The sequence below is a fragment of the Homo sapiens genome, chromosome 7 (assembly GCF_000001405.40).
Source record: "Homo sapiens chromosome 7, GRCh38.p14 Primary Assembly".
NCBI lineage: Eukaryota > Metazoa > Chordata > Mammalia > Primates > Hominidae > Homo > Homo sapiens.
In genome coordinates, this window is record NC_000007.14 from 40,264,382 (window position 1) to 40,284,523 (window position 20,142).

A 20,142-nucleotide genomic window follows, 5' to 3' on the forward strand; every position below is an offset into this window, starting at 1 on the left:
TGTGGAAATTTGTATGTGAACGTCTGTAAGCATATTTTTAGTATCAATTAGTGGTTCAAGTAGAGTGTGTGTTTGGAACAGAAGGTTCAGATGCTGTATAGTTGCAGAGTCTGTGCCCATGAAGTGTGAATGCAGTGACTGTGAGGACTCATGTTCTGTGTGCACGGAAACCCTCATTTGATCTGAATATTCCATTCTTTGTTCTCTATGCTTGCAATTCCACTGAAGACAGTTTTCCTGCTAGTTAGGGCTACAAGTCATGAGAATAGTGGTTTTAACAATGAAAATACTACCTTCATATTAAGAAACTTAATTTCCTGTTGATTGTTTCCCCAAATTTATTTCATTTTTTACTCTCCCCAACTGATCAATAATCAAAGTCTCTGAATTCAAGTTTCTAAGTATCTCTTGAATCCATGGCCTCCACTTGTCCTTGATTGAGATTCTCATCTCGTCTCTCTGCCCTGCACTATTGCGAAGTCATTCTGACAGGTGTCCCATCATCACACCAAGTTGTTTATAAAAAGTCTCATTTGTGCAGCCTTTTACCTTCATAAAGTGCTTTTATACACCTTTTCTTACTTAATTCTCATACCAAATGCTGAAGTAGATTTTATCATTACCCATATTTGACAACTGAGAAAAAAACTAAGAAAGGCCAAGAACTTCTCCAAAGGTTGTGTGGTTAGTAAATGCTAGAAAAATTTATATTTCGGAAAGTGGTTTATTAAAAAATTTGTGTGCCCCAGGATACAAAAAAAATTTCTGTAGATTACATTTGTATAACGAATGACTCAGTATGAAATAAAGATACAACATAGGGACACATACATTTAAGAATGATTTTTTATTTTAGAAATGAAGCCAACTACTTAAAAAAAGTTTTAACACTTTTGTTGTTTTATGAAGTAATTAGGTTGAGTAATGTAACAAGAGAAAAATGCTTGGCGACTTTTCAAATTCATGCTTCTTTATTGAACATATGCCCAAATTGATTTACAGCTTCAATGCACTTTTTAACAAAACAAGATTTTAGAAACTTAGAAAAACACATGATTTTTTTTCACGCTGTCCCTCTCTCCCCCCTCCTTCTTTTCTTCCTTCCCTCATTTCTTTCTTTTTTCTTTCCCTGTTTCATTTGGCAAGCTCTGAATGTAGTGGGAAGAGCATAGAGAAATGAATAAAAATGTTAAAAATTCTTAAATTGTGTATGTAAGTAATCTTTTAAAATATTTAATTTTGTGATTTAAGAGATCGGGATGTAAAGGAAACAAACAAAAAAAAAACCTTTGGCTGGTTGCAGTGACTCAGGCCTGTAATGCCAGCACTTTGGGATGTTGAGACAGGCAGATCACTTTAAGCCATGAGATCGAGACCAGGCCAACATGATGAAACCCCGTCTCTACTAAAAGTACAAAAATTAGCAGGGCATGATGGCATGTGCCTGTAATCCCAGATACTTGGGAGAATGAGGCAGGAGAATCGCTTGAACCTAGGAGGCGGAGGCTACAGTGAGCTGAGATCACGCCCCTGCACTGCAGCCTGGACAACAGAGCAAAACTCTGTCTCAAAAAAAACCACACACACACACACACAAACAAAAAACAAAAACCTTCACAGGTAGTGGTGTGGTTTTTCCCCTTCATCTCTAGATTGCATAATCAAAAAAATAAAGAAAAACCACTAAACCATTTCTGTCATTTCAAAATTATCAATTTTTAAAGAAGGAATTTCAGGTTTTACTTTTTAACTTTTTAATTTTGAAATAGTTTTTTTTCTTTTTCTTTTCTTTTCTTTCCTTTCCTTTTTTTTTTTTTTTTGAGGTGGAGTTTTGCTCTTGTTGCCAAGGCTGGAGTGCAACGGATTCAAGTGATTCTCCTACCTCAGCCTCCTGAGTAGCTGGGATTACAGGTGCTTGCCACCATGCCTGGCTAATTTTGTATTTTTAGTAGAGAGGGAGTTTCTCCATGTTGGTCAGGCTGGTCTCAAACTCCTGACCTCGGGTGATCTGCCCGCCTCGGCCTCCCAAAGTGCTGGGATTACAGATGTGAGCCACTGCGCCTGGCCTGAAATAGTTTTATACCTATCAAAAAAGTTGCACAAGTAGTAGAGTGCCTATACTCTTCACCCCATTTCCTTTAATGTTAACATTTTCAAGTAGAGCTATGATCAAAACTAAGAAATTATCATTGATAATTTCTTTTAATAATCATTGATACAATTCTTTTATCTAAACTGCACCTTATTCAGATTTGAGTGGGTTTTCCACTAATGGTCAGCTTTTACTTTTAGTGAATTTTTGAATACATGAATGAATGGGGGATGACAGAGTATAAGAAAATAACCCACTGGGGGCTGGGCATGATGGCTCACGCCTATAATCCGAGCACTTTGGGAGGCCAAGGCGGGCACATCACGAGGTCAGGAGTCTGAGATCAACTTGGCCGATATGGTGAAACCCCATCTCTACTAAAAATAAAAAAATTAGCCGGGCATGGTGACATGCATTTGTAGTCCCAAGCTACTCGGGAGGCTGAGGCAGAAGAATCACTTGAAGCCAGGAGGTGGAGGTTGCAGAGAGCTGAGATCATGCCACTGCACTGCAGCCTGGGAGACAGAGCAAGACTCCATCTAAAAAAAACAAAAACAAACAAACAAAAAAAAAAAAGGAAGAAAAAAAGAAAATAACACTGGGAATGGTGAAAATAGAGAAATACATGAATACATATGGGAAGTGAATAATCAGAAGACTTTTAGTATTTTTATTTAATACTTTGTCCTCACACTATAATTGTATGTCTTAAGTGTTAACTAGAGACTCTTCCCTTTCTTGTCTTTATTGATGACAGTCATATCTGTTACTTTTACAGCAAAATTATCATAAATCTCTCTGACAAAAGGGTTACATTAATTCATTAAAAGAGCTAAATACATTTAAAACCGTTTCTGAGTGACCATGAACAAAATAAAAATTGTACTATCAATTTCTAGAGCTATAATTTAATAAAATAAAATATTACTTGATGTTTAAAAGTCTGTATATGAGTTTAAGTCCACTTCTAATAAATTATGGTGAGATTCTCAGGCATATTGCTTAACAAGGTTTGTGAATTACCCATTTTTTTCAATGTATTTTTACTAAAGATTTTGAGTAATGAATCCCTTTACCCATGATAGAGACAATACCACCCCATTCATCCCAGAGTTAAGGAGAAGGGAGACATTGTTTAGTACTGCTATAGCAGCAGGGCTCTGTGGAGTTCCAGATGTGGAAGGGGGTTGTACCTTGTAGATACACAGCCCCTTCTCTGATTTTGTCTTCTTGCACCTGGGAATACTTAGGCACTTTACAGTCACAGTGTCGTTCTCTGTGGGAATTTCTACTCACTAAATGGTAATTTATTTTTGCTTCCTTATTTCTCTGGCATTCTGACAACTTTTCAATGATAGGAATATATTTATAAGACATTTTCACAGTATGAGCATAGCCACCTCAGAATTGTACTAAGGAGTGAATGGTACCCCTTCTTTAGTTATTGTTACCCTTGACTGAAATAAAACTTCATTGAAATAAAACAATAGCCTTGAATGAAAGAAAACTTCTAGAATTTTTACTAAATACATGATTTTAAGCAGGTCTTTAAAGATTTTTTTTAAACTTTATTTTTCCTGCTTCATTTAATTATCAGAATTATGGAGTTTAAAAATACAACAGCTTTATGGATATAATTCATATACTGTACAACTCACCCATTTACAGCATACAATTCAGTGGCTTTTAGTATACTTCACAGGTTTTGCAACCTTACAACAGTCAATTTTAGAACATTTTCATCACCCCATAAAGAAACCTCTTACCTATTTGTGGTCATTCCCTATTCCTGCCTCCGCCCAGCCCCTGGCTAATCTACCTTCTGTCTCTATGGATTTGCCTGTTCTGGACAGTTCACGTAAATGGAATTATATAATATGCAGCCTTTTGTGACTGCCTTCTCTCACTTAGCATAATATTTGTTAAAGTGCTTCCATGTATTAGTAGAATAGTTTGTTTCTTTTTTGTTGCCTAAAATATCCCACCGTATTGTATTAGTAGAATAGTTTCTTTTTTGTTGCCTAAAATATCCTACCATATGGCTAGTCCCCACGTTATCTGTTATCATTTGATGGACATTTGGGTTATTTCTACTCTTAGGCTATTATGAATAATGCTGCTATAAAAATTTGTGTCTAAGCTTTTTGTGAGGACACATGCTTTCATTTTCTTGTTTTTAATTTTTTTTTTTTCCGAGTTGGAGTCTTGCCCTGTCCCCTAGGTTGGAGTGCAGTGGTGCAATCTTGGCCCACTGCAACTTCTGCCTCCCGGGTTCAAGCCTCAGACTCCTGAGTAGTTGGGATTACAGGCGTGCACCACCGTGCCCGGTTAATTTTTGTATTTTTAGGGGAGATGGGGTTTCACCATGTTGGCCAGACTAGTCTCGAACTCCTGACCTCGTGATCCGCCCGCCTCAGGCTCCCAAAGTGCTGGGATTACAGGCATGAGCCAATGTGCCCAGCCCATGCTTTCATTTTCTTGGGTATATACCCCTTAGTGAAATTGCTGGGTCATATGGTAACTCTATATTTAACTTTTTGAGGAACTGCCAGACTGTTTATCACAGTGACTACCGCATTTCACAGTCCCACCAATAGTACATGAAGGCTCCATTTCTTCACATCCTTCTTGACACTTGTTATTTCTCTTTTTTTATGATAGTCATCCTTGTGAGTGTGAAGTAGTATTTCACTGTGGTTTTAATTTACATTTCTCTGACAACTAATGATGTTGAATATCTTTTCATGTGCCCATTGGTCATTTGTATCTAGTTCTTTGGAGAAATGTGTCTTTAAAACCTCTGCCCATTTAACTTCAATTTTTACTTTTTTAATTTTTTATTTTATTTATTTATTTATTTATTTTTTGAGACAGAGTCTTGCTCTGTTACCCAGGCTAGAGTGCAGTGGTGGAATCTCAGCTCACTGCAACATCCACCTCCTGGGTTCAAGCAATCCTTTTGCCTCAGTGTCCCTAGTAGCTGGGACCACAGGTGTGCACCACTATGTCTGGCTAATTTTTGTATTTATCGTAGAGATGTGGACTTGCTTTTTTGCCTAGGCTTGTTTCAAACTCCTGAGCTCAAGGAGTCCTCCGGCTTCAGCCTCCCAAAGTGCTGGGATCACAGGTATGAGCCACTGCTCCTGACCTACCCATTTTTAAAAAATGGGATTATTTGTCTTTTTATTGTTGAGTTGTAGACTCACTGTGGTTTTCATTTGCATTTCTCTGATGGCTAATGATATTAAGCATCTTTACGTGTGTTTAATGACCATTTGTATATTTTCTTTGGAGAAATGTCTATTGAGATCTTTTGCCCATATTTAAATTAGGTCATTTTTCTTGTTATTTTTGCGTTGTAAGTGTTCTTTAAAAATTCTGGGCTGGGTGTGATCGCTCATGCCTTTAATCCCAGCACTTTGGGAGGCCCAGGCCAGTGGATTGCTTGAGCCCAGGAGTTCAAGACCAGCCTGGGCAACGTGGGGAGACCCTGTCTCTACAAAAATACAAAAATTAGCTGGGCATGGTGGTGTGCGCCTGTGGTCCCAGCTACACGGGAGGCTGAGATAAGAGAATTGCATGAACCCAGGAGGTGGAGGTTGCAGTGAGCCGAGATTACACCATTGGATTTCAGCCTGGGTGATGGAGCAAGACCCTTTCTCAAAAAAAAAAAAAAAAAAAAGAAATTCTGTACAAATTTCTTATCAAGTACATGATTTACTAAACTTTCTCTTATTCTTTGGGTTGTCCTTTCACTTTCTTGATGGTGTCCTTTGAAACACATATTTTTAATTTCAATTATGTCCAATTTATTTTTTCTTTTGTTGCTAGTGCTTTTGATGTCATATCAAAGAAATTATTGCCAAATCCAATATCATAAAGATTTACTCCTATATTTTCTTTTGTTATATAGTTGTAGCTCTTAAGTTTAGATTTTTGGTCCATTTAGAGTCAATTTTTGTATGTACTGCAAGGAGGGGATCCAACTTTATTATTTTCACCATTTTTTGTAAAGACTCTTCCAATTGAATTGTGTTGGCATATTTGTCAAAAAGTAATTGGATGTAAATGTGAGAATTTTTATTGTTTATATGTCTGCCTTCCACCAGTACCATGCTGCCTTTATTACAGTAGCTTTGTAGTAAGTTTTGAAATCAGAATTTGTGAGTCCTCTAACTTTGTCTTTTTCTAGATTGGTTATTCTTTGTTTATGGTATTTCCATATGAATTTTTAGGATCAGATTTTATTTCTGCAAAAAAGGTATCTAGGATTTTGGTAGGTAGAATTGCCTTGAATATGCAGAGGAGTGTGGGAAGCATTGCCATATTAACAATATTAAGTCTTCTGCTCCATGACTGTGAGATGTCTTTTGGTTTATTTTTGTCTTAATTTCTTTCAACAATATTTTATTATTTTAAGAGTATAAGTTTGTACTTCTTTTGTTAAATTTATTTCTAAGTATTTTATTCTTTTTTATCCTATTATAAATTGAATTACTTTCTTTATTTCATTTTTTGTTTGTTTATTGCTAGTGTGTAGAATACAACTGATGTTTGTATATTGGCTTTTATCTTGCAATCTTGCTTAACTCGATTACTAGTTCTAAGAGTTTTTTAGTGGATTCCTTAGGACTTTTGATATATAAGACTGGGTCATCTGCAAATTGAGATAGTTTTACTTCTTTCTTTGCAACCTAAATTCATTTTATTTCTTTTTGTACCCTAACTGCACTGGCTAAAACCTCCAGTGTAATGTTGAATTGAAGTGGTTAGAGTGGACATCCTTGTCTCATTCTTTTAAAAAATAATTAGTTAAATTTTTTTTCTTTTGTAAAATATATAGGCGGGGGTCTCACTATGTTGTGCAGTCTGGGCTCCAACTCCTGAGCTTAAGTGGCCCTCCCTTCAGTCTCCCAAAGTGTGGGATTATAGGAATGAGCCTTCGTGCCTGGCCTCTTGTCTTGTTCTTCATTTTAGGGGAAAACATTCAGTTCTTTACTTTTAAGTGTGATCTGGGTTATGATTTTTAATAGATGCCCTTTATTAGGTTGAGAAGTTTCATTTTTTTTTAGCTTTTTAAAAATCGATACATAATAGGTGTACATGTTTTCAGGGTTCATGTGATCATTCCATACATTAATATAATCAGATCAGGGCTGTTGATATACCCATCATCACCTTAAATATTTACCATTTCTCTGTTCTAGGAACATTCCAATTATTCCCTGCTAACTATTTTGAAATGTACAGCCTTTTGATGTTAGCTATAGTCACCGTACTGATCTACTGAACAACAATTCTTATTTCTTCCATCTAAGCGTATGTTTGTACCCACTAATCAACCTCTCTTCATCTCTCCTCCCCCTACCCTTCCCAGCCTCTGGTAACCAGCAGTCTGCTCTCTATCTTCATGAGATCTACTTTGTTAGCTTCCACATCTGAGTCAGAATATGTGATATTTGTCTTTCTGTGCTTGGCTTCTTTCATGTAACATAATGTCCTCCAGTGACATCCATATTGTTGCAAATGACAGGAATTTATTCTTTGCCCAGCTAATTTTTTATGGCTGAATAATATTCCTCTCTCTCTGTCTCGCTCTCTCTCTCTCTCTCTCTCTCTCTCTATATATATATATATATGGATGTTTCAAAAACAACTGCAATGTGACATATATATATATATATATATATATATATATATATATATATATATATATATATACAGGGTCTCAGTCTTTTGCCTAGATTGGAGTGCAGTGGCATGATCATAGCTCATTCCAGCCTGGATGGAACTCCTGCACTCAAGTGATCTTTGCACCTCAGACTCCCAAGTAGCTGGTACTAGGGGTGTGTGCCACCATGCCCGGCTAATTTTTGTATTTTTTGGTAGAGACAGGGTCTTACTCTGTCACCCAGGCTGTTCTTGAACTCGTGGCCTCAAGTGATCCTCCTGCTTGGCCTCCAAAGTGTTGGGATTTATAGGCATGAGCCACTGTGCGTGAACACATTTTCTTTATCCATTCATCCTTTGATGGACACTTGGGTTTATTCCATATTTCCGCTGTTGTCAATAGTGCTGCAGTAACCATGGGAGTGCACATATCTCTTCGTGATTGATTTTCTTCTTTCTTGGATATCTACCCAGCTGTGGAATTGCTGGATCATATGGTATTATTATTATTATTATTATTATTTTTTTTTTTTTGAGATGGAGTCTTGCTCTGTTACCCATGCTGGAGTGCAGTGGCACGATCTCAGCTCACTGCAGCCTCCGCCTCCCGGGTTCAAGCAGTTCTCCTGCCTCAGTCTCCTGAGTAGCCGGGATTACATATATGTGCCACCACACCTGGCTAATTTTTGTATTTTCAGTAGAGACGGGGTTTCACCATGTTGGCCAGGCTGGTCTTGAACTCCTGACTTCAGGTGATCTACTCGCCTTGACCTCCCAAAGTGCTGAGATTACAGGTGTGAGCCACCGTGCCCAGCCTTTAGTGTAACTTTTATTGAAAAAAAATTCCACGTATAAGTGGATCCATGCAGTTCAGAACTTTGTTGTTCAAGGGTCAATGTAACTTTGAACTTGTCTCTCACTTTTAAGACATTAAATAATTTTAAATTCTAATGACAAATTTAATTTTAAGTGTATTGATTTAAGGCATTACATTACAACTTTTGACAATAATAATAGTAAACTGCCAGACATTTCCAAGTTTCATGGCAATATCGTCCTTGAAATTGTATTGAAAAGCAGGGAAAAATAAGTTTAGCTACTATACCGTCTCAGTTACTTGCTTTAAACATTATTTTGCAAAACAGTACTTTTGCAAAACAATTAACATGGTTTATGATGGGCTACAAAAAAAGGACAAATTAACTTCTGAAAATGATTCAACAGAAGCTAGACTTAATAAGGAGGTAATTGAATCACTGCATCAGCCAGATGAAGTATGAAATGTGAGTTTTTTTAGGTATTCTGTGCGATTTAAGGCTTAGCAGAATTAAAGGTAGTGACAAGTAGAAACTATCTGATATATCAATGACTAATAACAATGTTGATAATTTTGATAGGTGATTTTTATTTTGTGTCAAGTACTGTTCTAACATCTTTACATATGGGCCAAGGATTGGATTGTCAAATCAGACTGACATGAAGTGGAGATGTTAATCAATATTAAGCTTTCCTTATAATTTCAAGAATACAAGCAATCAAAAGGCTCAGAAAAAGCAGAGACATGTCTGGGACATTGAGAGAGGCCCCCGGATCCTTTCTTACTGCAATAGACAAAACTCTGTGGCCCAAAGCAGTAGATGAGGTCCTTAATGAAATATATGAGTTATTAGCAGGGAGTGTTACAGGCTGTGAAACATCTCCGTTTTATACCCAGATAGTTGCAAAGCTCATGCCCTGTGCCCAGTGCTCCATGTCCCATAAATCTTGAGATTCTCAGTTTGTTTATCATAGTAATCCTAATTCAGGGGCAGTCTGCTAACAGCTTTTTATGGGTAAATAGTCTTTTTTTAAATTATTAAGCAAACACTGTTAGTATTTTTGCCAGCTATTGGTGTGCTTACAAGGAGGTTTGACCAGATTTTTTACCTTCTTTTTTTTTTTTTTTTTTTTTTTTTGTGAGAGAGCCTCTCACCCAATAGGAGAAAAACACTGCTTTAACTCTTTCTCCCCAACAAATTAACTCATTTAAATTCAATTAATTTTTTTAGCATAAACAAGATAAAATATATCAAGAAGGAATTTAAAACATTGAAACATCAGATCGGTTTCTAAAAAATCTTTTATTTTTAGTTTGGTTAGTAGGCATTGGGGAGAGAAATGCACTGAGAAGTATATAGTAAATATAAATATTTTCCTATTACCAACAGATATTCACAATAGCAATTTATTTTATTAACTTTCTTGTGTGTATGTGTCTGCACAGTTAATAGACAATTCTTTTTTCTATTTCACATTAGAAGATTTGAGAAATCATATGATTCTTTTAATGTTTAATTATTTCTTCTTTCTCAACCCAACCTTCAAATCAGAATGGAGATCCAGTTCGCCCAGGAGTAGCTATGACTGATCTTGCCACTGGCCTGTATGCATATGGAGCTATTATGGCTGGATTGATACAAAAATACAAAACTGGGAAAGGACTGTTCATTGATTGTAACCTACTGTCATCCCAGGTAACAATCCAACTAACATTTCAGATAATGTTATAAAAACTGTGTCTGGGTTATACCTTTTCAGATCAAATTCTATGGTCACATGTACAAAAACAATACAAAAACCAACACAACAACACTGAAAACTGTTTCATTTTGATGTACTTGTTTCTTTTCTTTTTTGAGATGGAATTTTGCTCTTGTTGCCCAGGCTGGAGTGCAATGGCGTGATCTTGGCTCACTGCAACCTCCACCTCCTGGGTTCAAGCAATTCTTCTGCCTCAGCCTCCTGAGTAGCTGGGGTTACAGGCATGTGCCACCACGCCCGGCTAATTTTGTATTTTTAGTAGAGATGGGGTTTCTCCATGTCGGTCAGGCTGGTCTCGAACTCCCGACCTCAGGTGATTTGCCCACCTTGGCCTCCCAAAGTGCTGGGATTACAGGCATGAGCCACCACGAATGGCCCATGTACTTGTTTTCATATTAAAATACACGGACCATGAAGATTTTGTTGTAATGTAGACATCATTGTTGAACCCAAATTTTCCAGGCTGTTTTTACTAGAATGTGTCTGTTGCTTCTTATAAGACAAGAGATATGGTTGCTTCACATGTACTCTGTAACTTACTTTGACTTGTTTCTTCACCTTTTATGTGCCACGAACCCCTTTGGTAGTCTGGTGAAGTCTGGACTTTTCCTTGCAATTGTGTTTTTGAACACATAAAATAAGGTACTTAGGATTACAAAGGAAGCTGGTTATACTGAAATATATTCAATGGAAAAATCAATTTTGCATTATTAAAAATATATAATTTTTACTAACACATTAAACCACAATATCTAATAGTGGGTGTAACACTATTATAATTTTGAAGTCATGTTGAGCATAAGTGGTATTTCATGGTATCTGTAGTAATTGTAATATGATACAAAGATATGCATAATATTTATTCGTGATCAAGTCATAGGTACCACTAATATTCTTGTGGTTTGTCACCTACATTTATAATAGAATAAAATGCTAAATTTTAGAGGTGATGAAAATAAAGATACACTTTTTTTTTCACTTGAGTTGATTAACTCCCAGAAATCTGTTTATAGACCCCAGATAAAGAATTCCTGGTTTCCGTAGTTATCAGTTATGTTGTGCTAAATACTAAACTGGGGGAATAAAAGGGTTAACTCACTGTCAAAATGACATTTTGCCTTCTTTTCACTGGATCAGACCCAGATGCTGTACCATATGTGGAAGTTGATTCTGAATAGATAATTTTTCCGTGATAGAAAAAGAAAATATCTGATTTGTGCAAGGAGACATTTTACTGTGGGAAAAACTACTTTCTAGACATAGAGACCCCAGTTGGGAATTTCAGATTTAAAAGGCATACATGGGAAAATAGTAAACTTGGAACACTGCTTTGGATATTTTTTCCTCTTAGGCAAAATTAAGGAGGTATATAGAAATAAAAAACATCAATATGGTTGAAAATGAAATACTATGTATGGGTTTTTACATAACAGTAGCTTCGAGTCGTGGTCAGAATTTTAATGTTTCTATAAAAAGGTAAAAGAACTCTGTTCAAATGAGTGGTTTCACTCCTTAATAGAGAACTACAGATGTTAGTTATGGGAGGGTGCAGAAAGTCTTTTCTTCCTCTAATTTTAAGCTGTAAGGAACCTGAGGTAGGGTAAGCAACTGCATAAAAGTTGCACATCCAATAAGTTTGGAAGCCATGAAGGTTTCATGGGTGTGTAATCTGTGCAGTCATGGGTAGCCCTGGGCTTAGTTAAATGTTCTGCTGTCACTGTCTTGAATTTGTTAATAACATCCACAGGAGGCCCTATAGTTTTTATTTACACCAGTACTCACAAATTATGTAGCAGGTCGTGGAGTTGAGACTCTACTTAAGTCTCCTGATTTTTACCTAGGCTGCTTTACTCTAATGTATAAAGAGTATTGTATTATTTAGATGAGTATCATAGAGTTTAATTCACTTCTAGCATCTAACTAGTGGTTCACCATGTGAAGGTGTGTATTTCCCTGGGAGTAAGGGTGGGGAAGGTGGAATCACCATAGGGCTGCTTCAAAGTGAGGGCACAGTGACGGCAAACTCATGCATATACACACAGGTATATAGTCAATCATTTTTGGGGTGTGCATGTGTGTGTGTGTGTGTGTGTGTGTCTGTCTGTCTGTCTGTGTCTGTGTCTATTTTTATTGTCTCTGTTTCTCCCTGAGACTAAATTCTATGACTGCTGGCACAATGTTTTTGTGTACCATGGTATCCTCAATTCCCAGCCCAGCCTTTGTCAAAGATTGGCTTTTCCAATCCTTTGAGGTCAATGTGAGAACTACTGTTACCAGTGGGAATGTCTCGTAACCCTTAGGTTTGCCAAGGAAGATGTGAAAAGATAGTAAATCATTAGAATTATGATAAGTACTCGATAAACAGCTAATGATGAGATTATTTGCTTTTGGCAAAAAAAGTAGCAGTGATTTGGCCTATTGTACTACAGTTAACTCAGATTGCTAAAATTAGTGTATTTCAGTCTCATTAACTATCTTTCTTTTTTTCTTTTTCTGTCGCCCAGGCTGGAGTGCAGTGATGCGATCTCAGCTCACTGCAACTTCTGACTCCTAGGTTGAGCAATTCTTGTGCCTCAGCCTCCCGAGTAACTGGGACTACAGGCGTGTGTCAAAACTCCTGGCTAATTTTTTTTTTTTGTATTTTTTGGTAGAGACGGGGTTTTGCCATGTTGGCCAGGCTGGTCTTGAACTCCTGACCTTGAGTGATCCACCTGCCTCAGCCTCCCAAAGTGCTGGGATTATAGGCGTGAGCCACTGCACCCAGCCAGAGCCACTGTGCTGAGCAAGAGTTCTGTTTCTTTATTCATAAATTCTATTAGGTGATGGTCTTTTAAGGCAAAGAATATGTCTCTTCATAGACTTGCTACAGCTGCCCCATTCAGAATAGCTTCTGGGCTGTGAGTAGTGGTTAGAGAACTTCAAAAGGCAATTTAACAGATAATTTGTTCTTTTTGTTATTATTATTATTATTATTATTATTATACTTTAAGTTTTAGGGTACATGTGCACAATGTGCAGGTTAGCTACACATGTATACATGTGCCACGCTGGTGTGTTGCACCCATTAACTCGTCATTTAGCACTAGGTATATCTCCTAATGCTATCCCTCCCCCATCCCCTCACCCCACAACAGTCCCCAGAGTGTGGTGTTCCCCTTCCTGTCTCCATGTGTTGTCATTGTTCAATTCCCATCTATGAGTGAGAACATGCGGTGTTTGGTTTTTTATCCTTGCGATAGTTTACTGAGAATGATGATTTCCAGCTTCATCCATGTCCCTACGAAGGACATGAACTCATCATTTTTTATGGCTGCATAGTGTTCCATGGTGTATATGTGCCACATTTTCTTAATCCAGTCTATCATTGTTGGATATTTGGGTTGGTTCGGGCAAAGGATATGAACAGACACTTCTCAAAAGAAGACATTTATGCAGCCAAAAGACACATGAAAAAATGCTCATCATTGGCCATCAGAGAAATGCAAATCAAAACCACAGTGAGATACCGTCTCACACCAATTAGAATGGCAATCATTAAAAAGTCAGGAAACAACAGGTGCTGGAGAGGATGTGGAGAAATAGGAACACTTTTACACTGTTGGTGGGACTGTAAACTAGTTCAACCATTGTGGAAGTCAGTGTGGCGATTCCTCAGGGATCTAGGACTAGAAATACCATTTGACCCAGCCATCCCATTACTGGTTATATACCCAAAGGACTATAAATCATGCTGCTATAAAGACACATGCACACATATGTTTATTGCGATACTATTCACAATAGCAGATAATTTATTCTACAGCTTACCTGAAGTGCAAGGCAATGCCTGGTAAGAACTTTTTCACTCTCTGGATTTGCTGCATCCTGAGCTCTGTTTTTCTCTGTTTGCCTCTGCTTTATTCCTTGTCTCTGTCCTCCCTTTCTTCTCATGTGCCCTTCTCTAGCCTGGACATCTCTTTTCTCCTTTTTTTCTCTCTCATCTTTCTTTACTTTCCTGTTTTCCTTTCTCCTCTATGCTCTTGACCTTCTTCCCTCTCCCTCCCTTTTATCCATCCTTCCTTATGTGGAACTAAGGTTTTAGCAGTTTTGGTTTCAGATCTTACATTTTTTTTTTTTTTAAAGAGATACGGTCTCGTGCTTTTGTCCAGGTTGGAATGCAGTGGTGCAATGATAGCTCACTGAAACCTCGAACTCCTGGGCTCAAACAATCCTCCTTCCTCAGCTTCCCTAGTGGTTCGGACTACAGGCGTATGACCTTATGCCTGGCTAATTTTTGTATTTTTTTTTTTTTTTAGAGATGGGGGGGTCTGACTGTGTTGTCCAGGCTAGTCTTGAACTCTTGGCCTTAAGGGATCTTCCTGCCTTGGCCTGCCAACATGTTGGTATTGCAGGTGTGAGCCACTGCATCCAGCCAGATCTTACCAGATCTTACATTCTTATACCGTATTATTCCAAAAAGTTTCAGAATCTTACAGTAGTTCCCATGAGAGATAAAGGAAGTTCCCTTTCCTAGAAGTCCCAGAAAACAAGAACATGATTTCACTGGTTTAAGGGACCATTCCTAAACTGATAAATGGGGCCTGAAAGATAGAATACACTGAGTGGCATAAGCAATTCCTGGTACTAGCGATGGGGTTAACTCCACCCAAACTGTGTGGCTGAGACTGGGGGACAGGTGATTCCTCCAAAGAATGGCATGGTTATTTTTTGGCCAGAAAAGAGGGAAATGGATGTTGGGGAAGCAATCTACAAATATTTACTATGCTAATGTAGAGGGTTGTTTTTAGGATCTAATGCAATGAAGGATGTGAAAAATACTTTGTAAATCAGAAAGTTTAATGATGACAACATTAATTTTATTAGGTTATTGAAAAAATACTTCAGTGTTAGTAATGTTAGATTAAAAAGTTGGCTAATAACATAATTATTTTATCATAATTATGATAACGTTTCATAATAGATAAACCTTGACTGACTTCAATTTGTCTTTCAATTTAAGATAACACTTATAAATTCTAGATCTAAAAACCAACCACAACATGATTAAAACCTGCTTTATGTAAATAAGGAGTGCTATTTGTAGGTACTTTTCAAAAAAGCGTAACAGGAAACTTCACCTTTTTTTAAATTAAAAAAAGTATTCTTTTTAATATAAATGTTCACCTGCATTAAGTAGGTAACATTTGAATTTAATTTCAGCTGCGTGAGAATGAATACAATTTCATGCAGTAGTAAAAAACACATTTTCCTACTCATTTTGATTATATTACATAGAATGATGAATGATTATAACATTGAACGTTAGTTGCTAAAAATGAAATTGTTATATTCCTCTTAAAAGTGATCTAGTGTAAAAAAGACAATTTACACCTGATTGGAATAGTAGCTAATTATTAACTCAGAAATGATTGCCTCAGCCACAACAAAACCATTTCAAGTAGTTCCTTGTAGAGACATGACAATTGCCAGGATGTGGTTTGTAGTGGGCACCACAGTTTTTATAGTTTTAAGGCTATAAACTTTCAACCCTTGTCAAAAATTCTTTTGATTTTTTTGTCTGAATATGATTTAAATTTGTCCAGTCAAGACAACTAACATCAGCATCTAAACAGTGTTCTTTAGATGATATTGGTAAATAACAAGGAAGCGGGTTTGGATGTGGTTCTGCTTATTCTGTTGCTCTATTCTTCTGTTGTGGCCTACAGAAATATCTTTTGGAAGTTTTAATGTCCTTACTGTACTTAATTGCAACCAGGCTCCCTTAATTACTACTACAATGAGTTAGTTTTTTTAGCACCATAATTATTTGCATATATAGAATATATTGTCACTTTTGATGTGACCATCCTTTACTCACACATGTACATTGATCATATTACATGAACATATTCAAGTAGAAACAATTTTAATTCTTATCATTTTGACTGATAAACTTTTGAATCTCAAGCAAGTAATCTAAAATTCATTGTTTTGTGTCCTTAGATATACCTGTGTTTCTGCTTTTTTAAGCAACTCTGTATCATTTTTTTAAACAATTTTATTGAGGTATATATTACATATCATAAAAATGACAACTTAATGATTTTAGTAAGTTTAGTGGGTTATGTAACCATCAGTATTAATCAGGTTTTGATGAGTACCCGTATTGTTACTTCTGGTGCGGGTCTTGCCGATGAGGCTAGAATGGACGAGTTTTGAGTGGGGAGAGATCTGGGACTAGGCTGACTTAAAAGAAGGGGCCCATTATGACTTCCGTGGGCCCTGGGAACTTTTGCCTTTGTGGGTTCTTTCCTTCATAAAAATATTAAAAATTACATTCTATAACTGCATTGGTATAAAGATGAAGATAATTCATTATTCTGCATTTATTATTATTACACTCTTTTTTTCTGATTTGAAATGAAATGAAAATTGAAACATTTTTGTGTACCCCTAAAGTCTTGTGGGTCTTAAGCATTGTGCCTACTGTGCATAATTGATAGATCAGCTCTAGAAGAATTACCTTGAGAAAAGCCCGTGAATGTACAAATCTGTGAGGAAAGCAGTTGTGTATCTGGGAAGGAAGTAGAGCTGAAAGCTGAGATTGTGTTGAAGCATGAGTATAGGATGAAAGAGTAGAGAGGCAGCACAGTCTATGACTAAGGAAATTAAGAGAACTCCTCAAAGGGAGTTTTGTTTTTTCTTCCTTTAAGGGAGAACGAAAAATAGAAGGTTATAGCAGAAAGTTGGGTATGATACTAGCTGTGGGCTTGTAATATGTAGCTTTTATTGTGTTGAGGTACATTCCTTCTATACCTAATTTATTGTAAGTTTTTATCATGAGAAGATGTTGAATATTGCTAAATGCTTTTTCTGTATTCACTGAGACAATCATATAATTTTTATCCTTCATTCTGTTAATGAATCGAAAGCAGTCTCAGGTGAAAAACACAAAGCTGGAGGCATTATACTTCTTGATTTCAAAATATAATACAAAACTATTGTAATCAAAACAGCATGGCATTGGCATGAAGACAGACATGTAGACCAAAGGAGCAGCATAGAAAGCTCAGAAATAAATACACACAGTTACAGGCAATTGATTTTTTGTTTGTTTGTTTTAGATGTTTTTTTGGAGACAGGGTCTCAATCTGTCACCCAGGCTGTCCAGTTTAGCAGCATAATCTCACTCACTGCAACCTCTGCCTCCCAGGTGCAAATGACTCTCCTGCCTCAGCCTCCCAAGTAGCTGGGATTATAGGCACAAACCACCACACCCAGCTACTTTTTGTATTTTTAGTAGAGACAGGGTTTCACCATGCTGGCCAGGCTGTTCTCGAACTCCTGACCTCAAGAGTGCTGGGATTACAGGCATGAGCCACCGCACCCAGCCTGAATATCCAGTTTTACCAATACAATTTATTGGAGAGACTGTACTTTCCCTATTGTGTATTGTGGCACCTTTGTCAAAGATCAATTGACTGGCCAGGTGCAGTGGCTCATGCATGTAATCCCAGCACTTTGGGAAGCTAAGGTGGGCGAATCATTTGAGGTCAGAAGTTTGAGACCAGCCTGGCCAATGTAGTGAAACTCCATCTCTACTAAAAATAAAAAAATTAGCCGGGCATGGTGGCATGCACCTGTAGTCTCAGCTACTTGGGAGGCTGAGGCACAAGAATCGCTTGAACCCGGGAGGTGGAGGTTGCAGTGAGCTGAGGTTGCGCCAGTGCACTCTAGCCTGGGTGACAGAGCTAGACGCTGTCTCAAAAATACTGAAAAAACAAAAACAAAAACAAACAAACAAACAAACAAACAAAAAAACCAACTGGATATTCAGATGCAGAAGAATGAGGTTGGACCCTTATCTTACACTATATACAAAAATCAACTTAAAATGGATTAAAGGGGCCAGTGCAGTGGCCTGTAATCCCAGCATGCAGGAGTATCACTTGAGGCCAGGAGTTTGGGACCAGCATGGCCACTATAATGAGACCCTGTCTATACAAAAAAATACAAAAATTACCCGGGCATGGTTGTGAGCACCTGTCACAACCATGTGAGGCTGAGGTAGGAGAATTGCTTGAGCCCAGAAATTAGAGGTTACATAGAATTATGAGCATGCCACTGAACTCCAGCCTGGGTGACAGAGCGAGACCCTATCTCTAAATGTAAATAAATAAATAATATGGATTAGAGACTGAAACATAAGATCTAAACTGTTAGACTATGAGAATAAAACATAGGGAAATAGCTTCTTGACTTTTTTTTTTGGTGAAGATATTTGGATATGAGCCCAAAAAGCACAGGCAATGAAAGCAAAACTAGACAAACAAGATTGCATCAAACTAAACAGTTTCTGCACAGCAAAGGGAACAATCAACAGAGTGAAGAGACAACTTACAGAATGGGAGAAAATATTTGCAAAGCATATATCTGATAAGGGGTTGTTATCCAAAATATATAAGGAACCCAAACAGTTCACCCCATTAAAATTTGGGCAAACGACCTGAATAGACATTTCTTTCTTTTTCTTTTTTTTTTTTTGAGACGGAGTCTTGCTCTGTCACCCAGGCTGGTGTGCAGTGGTGCCATCTCAGCTCACTGCAACCTCTGCCTCCCAGGTTCAAGACATTCTTCTGCCTCAGCCTCCAAAGTAGCCAGGATTACAGCTGCGGGCCACCATGCCCAGCTAATTTTTGTATTTTTGGTAGCGACGGGGTTCCACCATGTTGACCAGGCTGGTCTTAAACTCCTGACCTCAGGTGATCTACCCACCTTGGCCTCCCAAAATGCTAGGATTACATGCATGAGCCACCGCGCCTGGCCAGACGTTTCTTAAAACAAGACATACAAGTGGCCAACAAGTATCTGAGAAAATGTCCAACACTATGAATCATCAGGGAAAATGCAAATTAAAACCACAACCTCAAACTTGTTAGAATTGCTATTATCAGCAAGAGAGATAATAACAAGTGTTGGTGAGGGTGTGGAGAAAAAGGAACCCTTACACACTATTAGTGGGAATGTAAATTAGTATAGCCGTTATGGAAAACAGTATGGGGGTTCCTCAAAAGAATTAAAAGTAGAACTACCATATGATCTAACAATCCCACTTCTGAGAATATATCAAAGGTGAGGAAATCAGTATGTTGAATAAATATATGCATTTTCATGTTCGCTGCAGCATTGGAATCAATCTAAATGTAAATAATCAGATGAATAGATAAAGAAATGTGTTATATATATGCAATGTAATTTGGTTTAGCCTTAAAAATGAAGAAAATCCTGTCATTTGCAACAAGACATATGAACCTGCAGGACTAAGTGATATAAGTCAGGCATAGAAAGAAAAATATCACATGGTCTCGTATATATGTGGAATCTGAAAAAGTTGAACTCATAGAGGCAGAGACTAGAATGGTGGTTGCCAGGGGCTGGGGGTTGGAGGTGGGGGCAGGGGAAGATGATGGTCAAAGGGGCAAAGTTTCAGTTAGATGGGATGAATAAGTTCTGGAGATCTATTGTACAGCAAGGTGACTAGAGTTAATGTGTACTTTAAATTTCGTAAGAGATTAGATCTTAAATGTTCTTATCATTAAAACACAAGTATATGAGGTGATGAAGGACAGGCATGGTGGCTTATGCCTGTAATCCTAGTGCTTTGGGAGGCTGAGGCAGATGGATCACTTGAGGTCAGGAGATCGAGACCAGCCTGGCCAACCTAGTGAAACCCCGTCTCTACTAAAAATACAAAAATTAGCCAGGTGTGGTGGCGGGCACCTGTAATCCCAGCTACTCTGGAGGCTGAGGCAGGAGAATTG

At 37.5% G+C, this 20,142-nt stretch overlaps 1 protein-coding gene and 1 long non-coding RNA gene across 21 annotated transcripts in view; one reads left to right on the plus strand and one right to left on the minus strand.

Annotated features, from left to right (window-relative positions):
- Nucleotides 1–20,142, plus strand: part of SUGCT (succinyl-CoA:glutarate-CoA transferase) — a 903,812-nt gene that overhangs the window by 129,377 nt on the left and 754,293 nt on the right. For 13 of the 19 annotated variants that reach the window (XR_007060157.1, XR_007060156.1, XM_047420840.1 and 10 more), the window contains exon 8: nucleotides 10,132–10,275. The exons of the other annotated variants lie outside the window; for them this stretch is intronic. Coding sequence is in view for 11 of the 13 variants with exons in the window: in XM_047420840.1 (XP_047276796.1) it covers nucleotides 10,132–10,275 (144 nt within the window). In the remaining 2 variants the exon portion in view is untranslated. The remainder of the gene's footprint in view (nucleotides 1–10,131; nucleotides 10,276–20,142) is intronic. 19 annotated transcript variants of the gene reach the window in all.
- The window catches only part of LOC105375245 (uncharacterized), a 57,295-nt gene that overhangs the window by 24,466 nt on the left and 12,687 nt on the right, over nucleotides 1–20,142 (minus strand). The gene's annotated exons all lie outside the window — the stretch shown is intronic.